The sequence below is a fragment of the Homo sapiens genome, chromosome 10, assembly GCF_000001405.40.
Source record: "Homo sapiens chromosome 10, GRCh38.p14 Primary Assembly".
Taxonomy (NCBI): domain Eukaryota; kingdom Metazoa; phylum Chordata; class Mammalia; order Primates; family Hominidae; genus Homo; species Homo sapiens.
The window spans coordinates 89072883-89089100 of NC_000010.11; the positions used below are offsets into that span (position 1 = coordinate 89072883).

The 16218-nt window shown below is 38.0% G+C and overlaps 1 long non-coding RNA gene across 1 annotated transcript, besides 2 other annotated features; it reads right to left on the bottom strand.

Moving 5' to 3' along the window:
• Window positions 1-5268: 5268 nt before the first annotated feature.
• Window positions 5269-14192, bottom strand: LOC124902552 (uncharacterized). Its single transcript, XR_007062379.1, has 3 exons — window positions 14095-14192; window positions 11425-11545; window positions 5269-7029 (listed from the first exon to the last, which is right to left on the bottom strand). It is a non-coding gene; the product is annotated as an uncharacterized LOC124902552 (long non-coding RNA).
• Window positions 11634-11833: an enhancer, noted in NCBI's record as "active region_3734". NCBI's record gives its function as "activates an Ori minimal core promoter by ATAC-STARR-seq in GM12878 lymphoblastoid cells {active_cell/tissue: GM12878}" and the evidence as "EXISTENCE:reporter gene assay evidence [ECO:0000049][PMID:35858748]".
• Window positions 13714-14246: an enhancer, noted in NCBI's record as "OCT4-NANOG-H3K27ac hESC enhancer chr10:90846353-90846885 (GRCh37/hg19 assembly coordinates)". NCBI's record gives its function as "activates a minimal SCP1, AML or CMV promoter by ChIP-STARR-seq in primed H9 embryonic stem cells {active_cell/tissue: H9 hESC(primed)}" and the evidence as "EXISTENCE:reporter gene assay evidence [ECO:0000049][PMID:30033119]".

Sequence of the window (16218 nt, forward strand, 5' to 3'; positions counted from 1 at the left end):
GTACTAGTTTACATTCCCATCAGCAGAGTAAAAGTGTTCCCTTTCCACCACGTCCACACCAACATCTATTATTTTTTTATTTTTTGATTATGGCCATTCTTGCAGGAGTAAGTTGATATCATATTGTGATTTTGATTTGCGTTTCCCTGATAATTAGTGATGTTGAACATTTTTTCGTATGTTTGTCAGTCATTTGTATATCTTCTTTTTAGAATTGTCTATTTATGTCCTTAGGCCACTTTTTGAAGAGATCATTTGTTTTTTATTGCTGATTTGCTTGAGTTCCTTGTAGATTCTGGATATTAGTCTTTTGTCAGGCACCCCATTGCAGTAGCCATGTTCTCTTTATTGGAAGTGAGTTACTAGGTCCTGCTGACACTCAGGAAAGTGAGATTACACAAGGACATGAATATTAGGAGGCAGGGATCAGGGGCCGTTTGTAGAGGTTGCCTACCACTGTACCCAAACATGGTAGCAATAACAGAGCTAGCATTTAATATGAGTTTACCACCTGCCAGGAAAAACACACTGTACATATTATTCTCACACAGTCCTGTGAGGGAGGTAAAGTTATTAGCCTCATTTAATGAATGAGGAAACTGAGGCAAATGAAGGTTAAATAATGAAAGTCCCACAGTTTGTGTGTAGCATCCTCAGGCTTCAAAATGTGATAATCTGACTCCAGATACCATGCGTTTAACCTCAATGCTAAATTTTCTCTGATTAAATAGCTCAACAAATGGTAGCTGTTGTCATTAAATGCAAGGGCAATTGATGTGGCAAAGAATATTAAAGGAGGGAGCAGTGGGGAAAGAAAATCCAGGAGATGGGTTCACCAGCTATCCTGGGTAGCTCTACTCAAGAAACTGAGAAAGGAGATGAAATTCCCTAGCCAGGAGAAAATGTGGCAATTTCTTTTGGGTTAAGTCCAAGAACCACCATTAAGTCTTGGAGACTAGGGTTATCAGGAGAGCATCTTTAAGGCTAAAAGGCAGGGGTCTGACTCAGAAAGAAAAGAGCCTTGCTAAAGACAGCATTGTAGTCTCAAGAGACAGGACGGCATCCTAGACATGGATACTTGGGAAAGAGCTTTAGAGCCTTAAACATCGGCAACCAAATTGTGATTTTTATTTTCTAACTCAGAGGCCTTTGGGGTAAAAGTTTTGGTCTGGGACTCCCAGATAAGGTTATTGTTTTTGGCAAGAGAGAAAAAGAAAAAAAATAGAGCATTTACTGAAATAACATGTACTCTTTCATCTGTTTCCTTATATTTGAAAATGTTGTTTCAAAAAAGATTCATGATTCAAAGGCTAAGATTGCATTACATCCCTGGAAAGGAAATAATGGCCATGCACGTGACACCTGGCAAACAGTTCCGCCACCCAGGGCCTTGGGAGCACTTATCATTCTAGCAAAAACTGGCTTTTAGGGAGTGAAACGACAGCCTCTCCTTTCTAAGCCAAACATGTGGTCAGAACATTTGGTTAGAGGGCAGGAAACAGCAAATAAAGGTAGTTTCATTTGGACTCTTGGTCACTAGTTACATCCAAAAAGAGATTCTTAATGGAAGTCACAGCTGGTGCTCAGGTAGTTAGTCAATGGTGCTAGCAAAATCATAACAGACAGTGGCATATGTTACTGGGTTTTTTGAGGAAAGAGAAAAAAAATCACTTCTTCACTACTGTCCAACTCAGGGCCAGAATACGGAGTGGAGAAGTGTGAATAGCATGTAACAAGCTCTTCTCATCTTGAGATATGGTTCACTTTAAGAATGCAATGTGAGTTTTTTTTTTCAATTGGAGAATGAATTATTTTAAGGATAACTACTTTGCATTTATAAGTATTGTTTAATTTAGGAAAAGATTCTATTAAGACTTCAGAGTTCCCATCCATCAAAATTTTGTTTGGAAGCATGCTTGAAATCACGGCCTTGCAAAATTTTGAAGCTCAAGGAGACACTGGAGGTCAGCACAGATCTGGGAATCTTAGGGATCGTTGTTTGGGGAATAGAGACCGGGAAGGAGATCACATTGCTACTAGCAAAATAAAACTTTCCTTAACTTGATTGTGACAGGTCGGAAATAAGGTTGGGACAAGAGGCAGGCTGGATGTATCCATGGAATTTGTTTCCTTCCCTAACTAATGGCTGTAGCTTGAAAGAAAGATGCATCAAAAAATTGTCTTTCTGAAGTTTTTGCTTTGTATTTACTAGATTTTCTTCATCCCAAAGCAGTTTAAAGGAATCTCTTTATTCCTGAAGAGAATCTGATATCCAAGTTCTAGTAAAGGGGTGAGATCTCAGATATGTTGAAAATTGTGGAATTCTGTTATTTTCTTTGATTACTATTATACCACTAGTTCACTCTTCACCACCTCAATCAGTATAAAACATCTAAATATAAACTATTTTAGGTCTTTAGGTCAGAATTCACTCTATGTCATCTTTGCATTCACCATTCTGCCCAAGATGCTCAGCATGTTGCTGTGAACATTGGGTAAATGGTAACACTTTCTAGTATGTCAGTAGTGAAGGCTCAGATCAGACACAATGCCTGCAGCCTAATAACAACAGTCTCTGCTTCTCACAATCTGAGCAAATTATACCCAAATACAAGGGTTGAAAGCATTGAAGGAAAGTTTTTTAAAGTCCTAGTTGATCCACAAGAACATGCATCCATTAATTAACTTTTAAAAAAGTTATTGAGCACCTGCATTTCAGGCACTCTCCTGGGTGCTGAGGCTTACGGTATAAGCAAGACACAATACTTCCTAGAAAAGGACTCTTTCTCTTACATTAAAAACATAATTTGATTTATACAAATTCTGTTTACATTTCACTTATCAAAAATATGTCTATTTTTGCCTACATCTGTGTATATCTGTAGTATCATTTATTATTAAAAGACGCCAAATAATATGCAATCTGGCCCTGGAATTACCTCATCATCTTTCCTTAAGGATGGGAAATGGTGAGAGCTATTACTTTGGGAAATGATCCCAGTTTCATCTGAAATAACTTTGCTTCTTTTTCTTCTAACCCTTTTGTATCTTCTGTATATAGTTTGGTCAAGCCAACAGCATTGGAATAATTATTTTCAGGATAACTTTCAAATATATTTTACAATCAGTATAGCTCAGGCAACAATGGGACATAGGCCATGGAGCTGAAGCCCTATTCTGAGTGCCACTTGTTAATCTGGATGTACTTTCTTTAGATTCTGGGTCTTCAGGGAATTCAGAGAAAGGTCCTGTGGAGGGGGCTACAGTGTTAGAATGATGGAAATGTTCAGGCTCAGGACAGTACCTACCTACCAAGCTATAAGGGAGTATCTCAACATTTCCACAAATGGCAGAGACACACCAGATGCTACATAAAGCATCTTTATAGCTAGTCTCTGGCTACTGCAGAGTTCCATGTAATGCTGAGTTATAGGAAATCTTACTCACTTTCCACATACTCTGCAAAATGAAACTGGCCACCACTATAACCCACATTTCGAAGTGTCATATGCAGACTTCTACATATATATACAAGCCTTTTACTTTTTATTAAAATGGCAACTTTTATTTTGTGCCTACCCCAAACGGCTCTTCATTGGGTAGAAATTGCAGCATAGACCTAGTACTACATCATGTGGATTTCCTAGACTGGCAGATCATGCACTGAAAGTTCTAAGATGTTGACATTTCAGTTGCTGCTATACCTTGTTTATGCAGATTGTTATTTGTTTTTTAAAAATTGTATGGGTTTCTTCTGGTTGTTTGGAATCAGAGGAAGAATAAGGAAGGCAAGGAATAATTGTTCTTTTCCAGTTCAAAACACAGAGATGAGCTCATTTTGCTGTAGAGGTTTGGGGGATACCTGGAGAAGCCAGAGAGGTCAAGTGGAGGCCCCTTGGAAGGTGGCTGCTCCTGAGACGTGGAGAAAAGACAAGGGACAAGGGCAAAAACGTCCCCCCCCCCACCCCCATGAGGAGATGCAGCCTGGTGGGTGCCCTGCTTTTTGCAAAGTTTGAGGAAAAGTTTACTGTGCACTAAACTGAGAAAGACCAAGAGAAAAAGAAACAATTCTGAGGAATAACAATGCAGAAAACGAAGGAGTGTGATGGCTCACGCCTGTAATCCCAGCACTTTGGGAGGCCAAGGCGAGTGGATTGCTTGAACCCAGGAGTTCGAGACCAGCCTGGGCAAATGGTGAAACCCTGTCTCTACAAAAAAGACAAAAATTACAAAAATTAGCTGGGCATGGTGACACAGCCTGTGGTCCCAGCTATGCGGTAGGCTGAGATGGGAGGATTCCCTGAGCCCAGGAGACAGAGGTTTCAGTGAGTCGAGATCATGTCACTGCACTCCTGTCTGGGTGACAGAGTGACACATGTTTCAAACAAAGATAAAAATTAAAAAATAACAATAATGCAAAAACAGTCTTGTTTTACTTGGACTTCTGTCTGGCTTTTCCCAGATTAATGATCAGTTGTAATATCAATTCATTTAGCACAATGAAAAAGGTTTTAACAATGTTAACAAAATAAAGAGAGTGGCAATTTTGACCTACGGAAATAAATTATTCACCCTCTTTCCTTTTCCTCCCCCTTCTCTGTTGTTTTCTTCCCTCCTGTCTACTGAATCCCTCACCTCTTCCTGTCTTCCTTTCCTTTCTTTTCTCCTCTTTCTTCTCCCATCCTTCCCTGAAGGAAGAAAGGGACTTTTTAGTTGGCTTCCACAAGGCTTAACTCAGAAATGCAGTATCACCTGTGCTCTCTAAAAATTAAATCTCACTAGTAACCAATGTGCATCTAGCACCTAGTATGTTTAAACAGATAACTGCAATATTTGCCAAGGTTTTCCTGTTTGCCAGCTTTACCCACACCCCACTCTCCAACCCCAACCCAACATACACACTAAGACAACCTTCAAGTGTCAGCTTAAGCTGAGAAGAAATCCATGACTTGCTGATTTTTGGAGTACAGCAGACCATCAATGCTCTCACACTGTTTCTCCATTTCCTAGCATAATACCTAACACACAGGAGGCATCCAGAGAAAACTTCTCAAATAAATTATGACAAAGTCATAAATATTGTCTAAATACAGAAAGTCTAAAATGTAAACTTCCTACAGTGCCACATTTTCATGAAAAATCTTCAGCATTTCCTGAGCAATTTCACAACAAAAGTTAATTGATTTTAGCAAGTTTTACCCCTTACCTCGAGGTCATTTTTACAACAGAGAGTGTATTACTTGACAAGAATTATATGGTGGCAAGCAATAAGCAGCAACATCAGAATTCTTTTTTATTCAGCAGGTATTTATCATGTTAAACACTGTGATGGGTGCCAGGGATAAAATCATGAAAAAGAATCAGTTTGTGTCCTCATAGAACTTATTTTCTCGTGGGTACTTAAGCTGCCTAGACTGGGAAATGGCCCAGACTCTTCAGAGCTGGGTGATTCTCTCCAGCATATTATTTAAAACTTTTAATTACTACATGTGACAGATAGTCACTGGCAGAAAACTGTAGAAATTAAGGTCATGAATGCTAAGTTATACCACATGTACATCTAAGCACTTAGCACATCCAGTGCCTCTGGAAGACGGTCTTCTCTTTCTCCTAGAATCAATGTCACTTCCTTATATCAATCAGGGAAGTGCTTTAATATGCATCTTACCTTTTTAGCTCAGAAAATAATAATTTAGAGTTTGGAATTTGCTCCATTTTCAAATTGTCTGAATGCTCAGTTGTCAATTGTCTTAATGCCAAAATTTCGACAACTGACCTATATTCAGTCCAGTGTACAAGTAGAGTTATTTTTTCCAAGATTGACATAGATTAGTATTATTTGCACCACATCTTAGGGCAAGTTTCCTCTGCAAATAATTGTTAACATGTGAAAGTCAGACCACGGGTGTAGCTCATCTCCTGGAACAAGTTTTTGCCAACCCAAACTGGGAATGGCTTGTGGTGGGTTTAAAACCACTGTGCAATCCATTCCTGGGCCCAGCTCAGGGCCAGGCCTTGCCCATGGAACTGCCTGTGTGTGCAACACACAGTGAGACATGGCTTCGGTCCCGACCAAAACAAGCAAACAAGCATCATTACTCACAGAGTTGTTCATGGAATAATTAAACCAAAAGCAGAAATCCACGGTAAAAAAATGTTTTTAAAGTCGGAAGTATGGAGACCAAACTGAAATAAAAATGGTGGAGTAGGAGGAGTCTGAATATCAACAGTCCAATATTAGAAAGAGGAACAAAAACAGAAAACTGTTTCAAAAAGAGAGACAGGGTATGTCAGGGTCGAGGCACAGCAGTAAGAATTCAAGAATAAGGTCTTGAACACCAAGTATTTTTAAAAATTCTTGTGCCCTGACACAAAATGCAAGTCATGGCAGTATATAAAAAAGTAGAAGCAGGCTAGAAAATAACTTACATAGTTTATATGGACATGACTTGCTCTAGGAAAAAAATCTGCTTTCAGTATTCCATTCATTCTCAATTACTGAACCTCCCAGACAAGACCTCTTCTGTCTTCTCCCCTTCCTAAGGCACATTACCCCCACCGTAATTACATAAAAATGTCTGTTAACCAAATTTTGTCCCTTTGCCTTGAGCTCCTGATGTGATTAGAAATCGTGGTGAAAGGACAGAATAATATGAATAATTGCAACGGAGATGAATAGTTCTCTTGGTCATCCAGATGCTTAAACATATCTAGATTTTTGTCTCCATGCCAAGAAAACATTTGAGATAATTTAGTGCATTTTGCATTTTTCCTCCATGGGTGAAATCACAAATAATTTGTGCCTTTTAGCCACATTCTTTCCAAGAAATGGAAAATTTTATCCCCAAAATTAAGATTCCCAAGATACCTAACACCTAAATCTAATTATTTCCAAATTCCCAAAGAGAATTTTTCTCCAAATAAATTTGTTCAAATAAATGTCTTTTGATGTACCATCCATTTAGAGAAGCTTGTGATGAGCACGTTGCTTGACGAACAAGTTTTAAATAGACCAGTCTTCTTAATTCTCTGACAAAGACACAAACAAATAAGTCAATAAATAAAAAATGAAGATAAAGTTGCATTAGGTGAACCAGTGGTCTCCAGTCTTATAACTTAAGGGGGCCTGTTGATCTTAAAACTTGACCTAATATGTAGCATGTGATGAAGTTATTTAAAGAAACGTAAAACACTAAAATTGATTAATGTTTCCTGGCTCTCTCAGTAATGTTCCAAATGATCTCTTACATGTTTCTATTGTGGCACATGACACTTTGTCTTCTAGCTATTATTTACACATGTGGCAGGAAGCTACTCCAAATGACTAATAGATGTGCTCCTTTTCCCCCTGCTTCCTCTCCTTCCAAATCCTGAGGTTATCCCAGTCCTGTTCTTGCCTAGGACATCATGTGTCACCTATTGCCTTAGGTAGGGTAAAGTCTCAGAGAAAAACCACAGAAGCAGCATCTCTGGCCTGTGAATTTAAAAACTGAGGGGAAGCTGTAAACTGAAAGATTTGGAAGAATAGAGGAACTGTTTCCTCCTTCTCCTAACATCTACTAGACCGAGAATGGGGAATGGGGAGAGAAGAGAGATTCCAAGAAAGGGGAAAGCATAAATCGAGGAGTGAAGTCAACATGAAGAAGCAATCTACGTTCATGCATTCATGCAACTAAACATCACTAATTGCCAACACCAGGAAATTTTGTGGGGGTTGAATTTGAAACCATCAACCTTAGGATCTCCATTTGAGGACGTTGCATGTATGCAGCTGGGGAGCTGCATGGGTTTTCCTTCGCATTGTACTCCTTCGAGAAGCATCCATGGGTGGTAGCCAGCATCTCACCTGTTGATCATCCTACAGTATGAATGCCCATCTATGTTTCAAAACTTTGCTTAGGACCTACCCCACCCCCCACCTCCAGTCTACCTACTTCCTGTTGATAGCTCTTTATTCTGTTGCCCAAGTTGTTCATAGCTATCTCTTACCCTCCAGAAACTTAGATTGGAGTCGATATTGTAGGAAGAAAGTGCTCTTACACATAAACAATTTGGAAATAGATAAACATTTGTGTTTCATGTTGAGTCATTTCTGGTTTATCATACTTTTCTAGTAATTTCTTCATTTTGTTTAAGTTTTTAAAGTTGTTCACTTATAATTGTTAATAATATTACCTTATCTTTTTAACTCTCTGCTATATCTGTAGTTGCATATTCTCTTTTTTTCCATATTATTAATGTGTGCTTTTTCTAATTTCTTGTGATTAATCTTCTCAGAGTTTGGTCTATTTTATTAGTTTCTTTAAAAAAAAACCACCCTTTTTCTTTTGTGTTTTTCTCTATTATATATTTATTTTCTATTTCATTGATTTCTACTGCTATTTTAATTATATCTTTCCTTCTACTTTTGGGGGTTTATTCTATTTTATTTCTTTTCTTGTCTCTTAAGGTGCACATTTAGCTCTTTTTTTTTTAATTCTTCCTTTGGTTTTCTAATACAATTATTTATGGTTACATCTTTTCTTCAAAACACCATTTTTTTCTATAGCTACAAATTTTGTTAGTCTGTTAAAATATTATACAGTACTGTCTTTGAAAATCTTTATTATAATTTATTTTATAGACCATGAATTATATAGAAATTTGTTTTTTTTTTCTAAGTATGTGAGGTTTACCTATTAATATATTTAAAATGAATTTGTAACTTACACTTGTGGTCAGAAATCATGCTCTATGTGATTCTGATTCTTTGAAATGTGTGGAGGCTTTCATTATGGCTTAGTGCATGATCAATTTCTGTGTGTACTTGAAAAAAATGTATTTTCTCTATCAGATGTAGAAATCTACATGTGCCTATTAGATCAAAAATGGTTTTTTTGTATTATTTAGATCTTCTATATCTTTGCTGATTGATGTGTCTAACTTAGTAATGGAGAGTGATATGTTGAATCACCTTCTATGATAATGAGTTAATAATTTTATTCCTACAATTATATCAATTTTGCTTTATCTATGGCAATACTTTTATTAGATGCATATATGCTTAAGATTGCTCTATATTCTTAGTAATTTGAAACTTTCATTTGTATATAGTGATGGTCTTCATCACTAATAATATTTTTGTTTTAAAGTCTATTTCATCTGATATAAGTAGAGCCACACCACTTTCTTGGGCAGCTACACCAGTTCAAGATCTTGTCCCTACCACTTACCTTCCGAAGAAAATGTTTTGGAAATAATCCCCCAACAAATGCATGTACACATCCACACACACACACACACAAATACATCCACATCCACATCCACACACACACACATCCACACTCATAGACAGATATATGCCTCCCCACCGGACAAACCGAATTTTAACTCTGAAAAGTTTAGAGAGCATTTGGGATGAATCATGTTAGGCAGGTTTATGTTATGCTATTATTGTGCTTCCTTGTTCCCGTTACTCCCCTTCCTTTTCTAGAAACGAAGTGCTTTTAATACTATTGTATGCTATTAACAAATAGTTTAACTCTCACATATGCATGTTCCAATTCACCAGCTAGACTTTTTGATAGGAGTCCTAGACAGTCAAATTCTATGACCTGATATTCCCCATATATTCTGGCATAATAATATGAGCAGGTGTTCCCCTCTCTGACCAGAGTTGAGGCTGCTGATACCCTGTTTTCAGCTGAAAGTTGCTCCAACTTCTGCCTCTTTGAATTGTGCTCCCTTTTTAAAGGTCTTTCTTCTCTTCATCCTTTCTGTTTTGTGCCTATAAACTCACCTTCTGCCCAGCTATTTTTTTCTTTATGTTTCATGTTTTAATTTTGAAGATTTTAATTATAAAATTATATTAATAATGAATAATGTAAATAAGATATTTTAAATACAGAAAAAATTTAATATCTCCAGCAATCACACCTCTTAGAGACCACCATTACTAATATTTTGCTATATCCCCCCAATGATTCATATATATATATATACTTTTTTTTCATTACCAAACTGCCATTACTTTCTACATTCTGCTTTATGGCTTTCTTCTTACTTAAGATTATATCATAAGTATTTTATCATGGCAATAACTACAGTTAAGGACATGTCTTTATGTTAGCATTTGGTTGCAATTCTTTTTCAATCATATAGCTATACCAGAAGTTATTTAATTTATGTTCTATTCTTGGACATTTGGGCTGTTACCAATTTATTGATATTACAATGCTGATATGAACATGCTTGCTTGTAAATTCTTGTATCCATCTCTGATTGGTTCCTTATGACAAAGTCTTAGAAGTGAATGTTAACCAAGTGTTTTTCCTTTTTTAAATTTCACCGGGTTGCTATGTTTTGTATCATTCCCTTTGACAAGTGACCATCAACTTAGGCTTCTACAATATTGCATCCCAGCCAGAGTCTATGGCCCCATCAGGCTTCAGTTTGGGAAAAGAGAAGAAATGCATAGCAGATGCTCCTTTAAATTTTATTCATGTGTAAGTCTTCTCGAGGTCATAAATGTAGCCTATCCATTTACAACATCAAATTCATAGCAAGAAATAGTGAGAAAAGATCCTTTATAACCCTCCTTGACTAGCACCTAATGATATGGGAGCACTGGCCACTTTTTCAGTCGTCTTGTGCCTGGTTATGAAAATTATGGTTAAACGTCATGACTTTGAGATAATTTGAAGCATTTGGAATCCAAGTTTGTTTCTTCTTTTAATCTAGGTACATTTGCTGGCATCTCCTGATGTTCTGTCTTTCCATAGTTAAAATTTGGGCTGAGCTTTAAGGAAATTAAGGAAAGACTACTTTCACCTTTTGAGGCTCCCACTGTTCTGATAGGCAAGCTTGAATAGCTAGGCTACAGGACAGCGCATTTTTCATTTTCCCATTTGGGACCAGAATTGCAGCCTATATGCAATTACCAAGACTAGTCTCTGAGGCAGTAGTCTCTGACCATCCACTTCAACTGCACTCCTGCATGATGCCCTTACATTTCTGTTGTCTGTGTTGAGGAAAATCTGGGACATGAACGCATGTGGTAAACTACAGAACAATAGTAATAAAATAGTTTTCATTTGTGAAACCCTTCTTTGTTCTAGAAGCTGTACTCTATAGTTTACAGGCCATCTCCTTCAGTACTGTCATCACCAAGAGGTGGATATTATTGTCCCTTCCATTTTACAAGTGAGAAAATTGAGGCCAAGTTAGGTGGGTAGTTTAATATAAGACTCTGCCTCAGGAGAGGTATGCAGGATTAAAAATAAATTTAGAGGCCCAGCGTGGTGGCTCACACCTGTAATCCCAGCTCTTTGAGAGGCCGAGGCAGGCGGATCACAAGGTTAAGAGATCAAGACCATCCTGTCCAACATGGTGAAACTCCATCTCTACTAAAAATAAAAAAAATTAGCTGGGCAAGGTGGCACATACCTGTAGTCCCAGCTACTCAGGAGGCTGAGGCAGGAGGATCACTTGAATTCGGGAGGCAGAGGTTGCAGTGAGCCGATATCATGCCACTGCACTCCACCCTGGTGGCAGAGCGAGACTCCGTCTAAAAAAAAGAAAAAAGAAAAAAGAAAAAAACCAAAAATGAAAACAAAAAATAAAAATAAAAAAATAAATTTAGAAACTCACAGCTCACAGCCCACACAGATACCATGGACTTTCACTTTCCATGGTTGCATCAGAATAACATATGAAATAGAAAGTGAAAGAACTAAAGACAGAACTTTGAGCAACATCAATATTTAAGTGGCAGGAGGAGATAGATGAGTCAATGAAGGTGACTACAAAGAAACAGTCACATTAAAGAAGAACTGGAAGAAAATGAAAAAGGAGCAGTGGTTTTCAAAAAGGGAGGAGATGTCAACAAATATCACCAAACACCAGAGTAATAACATAAGGTCTAGAGATGTCTTTTATTCAAATGTCCATCAGTAGGAAAATGTATGAATAAAATGTGTTATATTTGCATATATTTGACTAGTTATTATATAGCAGTAAAAATTAATGAAATCAATTGACATGCAACAGTATGGATGAATCTTAGCAATATAACATTAATTGAAAACAGTTTCTAGGAGAATTGTACATAGTATGATACTCTTTTAAAAAATGTTCAAAACTAAAATAAAGGAGTGATGAACATAGCATTTAATATAATGAGTTACCTGGGTGAAGGGAGTAAGGGGAATGAAATGGTGGTTTGAGCATAGTTAGGGGTAGGTTATTTTTGAGGCCTTGACTTTTATTTCATTGCTATATTTTAAAAATACTTTATCAAAATTAACTAAAGGTAAATGGGCATTGAATGACCAATAATAAATATGGCATGAACCAGGATTATGACTGACCTAATTCTGTTCATTGAAGGAACAAGAGAAAGGGCGAGAGAGTGGAGAGGAAAGGGAAAAAACATGTCTCTTGGATTGAGCAAGCTGGAAGTTAGTCACCAGTGTCCCTAAGCAACACTTTCAGAGGACTGCAGAAACAGAAGACAATTTGCAATGTAGAAAGTGTAAGTAGTGCCCATGTTTTGAAAAGGTTGGTTGAGAAGTAAAAGGAGGAGGTAGAATGTTGAAGGGGGAGTACGGAACAGCCCGGTGGCCTCTAGGCCAGACTTCCTGGGTCCGATTCCTAGCTCTGACATTAATTAATAAACTAGGTGACTTCAGGAAGGTTACTTGACTTCTCTGTGTCTCAGATGTCTCAAATATGAAACTGAGAAAGGGAATGTTTAATAGTGTCACTGTGAATATTAAATGAGTTGTGAAAAAATTGGAACAATACCTTATGTGTTTGCTAGATAAGCATTGCTAGAGGAGATGCAGAGTAAAGGAAGTTTTGTTTTGTTTTTTAAATTTTAAAATGAACGATATTGGAGAAAAAGTTTGACTCTAGAAGAGAAATGAAGTAATTAATGGAGTAAGGTCCTGGAAGAGGCAGGCAGGAATGGAGTCTAGAGGACAGATAAAGAGATTTTTTTCTGGATAGGGAGAAGATCAGAACTTGTCCTAAGAATAGAGAAAAGGAGTGGTGAGTGCAGGAGGAGAGACTTGAAGAGGCAGCATAGGAGAGAGGTTCTAGGATAGGAAGTTTGCCCCTAGAGAATAGTCATTATTATTCTCTAGGACAAGTGTGCAGAGACACTTGCAGCTAAAAGAGAGGATTTTAAATGTTCTCACCAAAAAGAAAAGATAAATATATGAGGTGATGGATATGCCAATTTGACTGATTTAATTATTCCACAATATATACATGTATTGAAACATCACCTTGTGCTCCATTCCAGAACTTGCTGGAATGTCCACCATGAGTACTGAGAGAGGAAGCTTATTAGGGGCACACACATTCACACACAAAAAAATTGGGGAGTGGTGGTGAATATCCACTCAAGTTGGATACAAGCAATTATACTAATACCAATGCCCATAACTCTGTGTGCGTGTGTGTGTGTGTGTGTGTGTGTGTGTGTGTGTGTGTTTCAATAAGTGGTTGTAGAAGGCAGACAGTTGGATGGTGGATGGCACCCAGGTTTAGTACTTACAGGTTGGATATTTAGGGCAGAAAAGAGAGCTGGGATGTTGGAGATTCTGGCAGGAGGATGAAGTGGATTAAACAATACCTCATGGATAAAGCTTGCACACATAAAGAAGTAAAGTAGGAGGGGGTGGCATTTGGGCAAAAAAGGCAGTTGCAGAGGGACTAGTAAACTTCATTTGCTTAAAGTGACATCTTACGAATAACAGAGTTAAAGGGAGAAGAGGCTATGATCAGAAAACAGCATACTAGTTTCTGCTGCAGAACATCTCCAGTTGATGTAAAGAACAAGTATGACCATAGAAAAATAGAGAAGAATGAAAGTAAAGGCCATTGTAATCATGAAAATCAAGGAAACTTGAAGTGAGGAAGTTGCTTCAGTAATTCCTCCACCATCTTATATACACAACAGAGGACTCTACCCTGCCTACCAGCAGGGTGCCAGCTGCTTACTGGTAACAGCTGTGGTGGCAGAATGGACCTTTCTCTTGGAAATAGTCATTGTCTTCTCAGTAAGCTAATGACATGATGCAATCAAAAGGAAATGGAGTGCGAGCTTACAGTCTGATGAATCTTCAGACCTCTTGGATGAGGACAGCTAATGATGCAAGTCAAGGGCGCAGCTGGAGACCCACAGAAGGCACAGCAGTGAGTCACGTGAGCTCCTCAGAACCGGCCACCAGAACTTCACCACCCGCCCTCACACATGGCGGGCGGAAGTTCTAAAAATGTCCCAGAAGGGGACTCAGTCCCAAAGGCAGAACCACTTCTGGCAGACTGCATCGTCCCTCCCTAAGTGCTTTTGGAAATGTGGGAACAGACATTTTCTCTGGTCTCCGGAAGAACGTATGAAGACTAAACTGCTGTGGGTTTGGGAAAAACTGATGTCAGAGATGCTTATTTTCTCTAGTCACTGGAACTCATTCAAATCAGTAAATGCTTTTTGCTGAGCTTTTCCCATTTCCTTGAACGTAGGAGATCAAACCTCACCAACACGACTGCCTCCACCCAGCTACACAATGCAGCCCTCAGAAACAGATGTTCTCAGTTCCGGTTAAAGTTAGTATTTAGTAACCCTGCTCTCTTAAAGACTCCAACTGTTGCCACCCACAGAGCACACAGATTTTCCACCCATATAAGAAGATATGGAGGGAATATTGGGGAGAGGGGAAGGGCAATGTTTTATGCTTCTGTGCAATGGAAAATATGAATCCCAGAACCTGTTAGATTTGAATGTGAATCCTGGCTCTATTATCTTAAGAAATTAACCTCTTTCAGCCTCAATTTCTTCATCTGGAAAATGGAAACAATAATATTTTATAGAATTAATGACAGGATTAATCATGATAATATGTGTAAAATGCTGTGTATGGTAGGAAGAGTAAGTTCTGATGTTCTATTACACCACACAGTGACTGCAGTTAACAATAATGTATATTTCAAAATAGCTAAAAGAGAGGATTTTTTTTTTTTTTTTAGACAGAGTCTCGCTCTGTTGCCCAGGCTGGAGTGCACTCGGCTCACTGCAAACTCCACCTCCCAGGTTCAAGCGATTTTCTTGCCTCAGCTTCCTGTAGCTGGTATTACAGGCACATGTCACCACTACCGGCTAGTTTTTGTACTTCTAGTAGAGACATGGTTTCACCATGTTTGTCAAGCTGGTCTCGAACTCTTGACCTGGTGATCTACCCACCTCAGCCTCCCAAAGTGCTGGGATTACAGGCATGAGCCACCGCGTTTTAAATGTTCTCACGAAAAAGAAATGATAAATATTTGAGGTGATGGATATGCCAATTTGACTGACTTGATCATTCCACAATATATGCGTGTATTGAAACATCACCTTGTACTCCATAAATATATGTAAATATTATTTGCCAATTAAAAATAAAACAGATTAAAAATAGTAGGTGATCAGGTAATGAGCCTACATATTCTCCTCATATTACTTTTTATAAGTGGCATGTCCTGGGGACAGTGACATGGCAGGATATAACATGTCACCTTATATTCTGCTATTAAATTCCTAAGACTATAATATACTCATAATTTCTCTCCTGTGAGTTGATTTTTACATTCTTTCAATTGTTACTTATTTCCCAGTTGACCTCTACCTCCTTGCATGATTCTTCATCTTCTGTCTTTAGATGGTGTTTACCATAGGAAGACAAGCTCTTTGGGATACCAGTCTCTGGAATACTAGCCAACAGCAATGCTAGATACTATGTCACTGCCGAACTCATGCAGTGCACACTCAAGGGTTTTTGAGTTATTAATCCTTTTGAAATTACCTTCACAATATCAAAAACTCACTAGAAATGCATGTTAATATAAGACTAGCTTTTTAAAAATATGTGATCTTGTTAGAAATGTGAGCATCATATATGCAAACAAAGTTATTTACATATTATAGTTAATTATCCTTCAGAGTTAGAAATCAATTAGGACAGGAGTTCTCAAACTTTGCTGCACACTGGATTCACATGGGGACCTTTAAGAAATACAGGTTTCTCTTTGCCACTTTCAGACATCTGTAACTCAATTATTACAAGGCATGACCTGAGCATCTGGATTTTTCCAGATAACTCTAACATGCAGCAAAGTCTGGGAACTGCTGTTAGTGGCTATTATGCACCCAAGGACCATCGTTAAAAGATGCTTACATCTGTACACGTGTGTTTATAT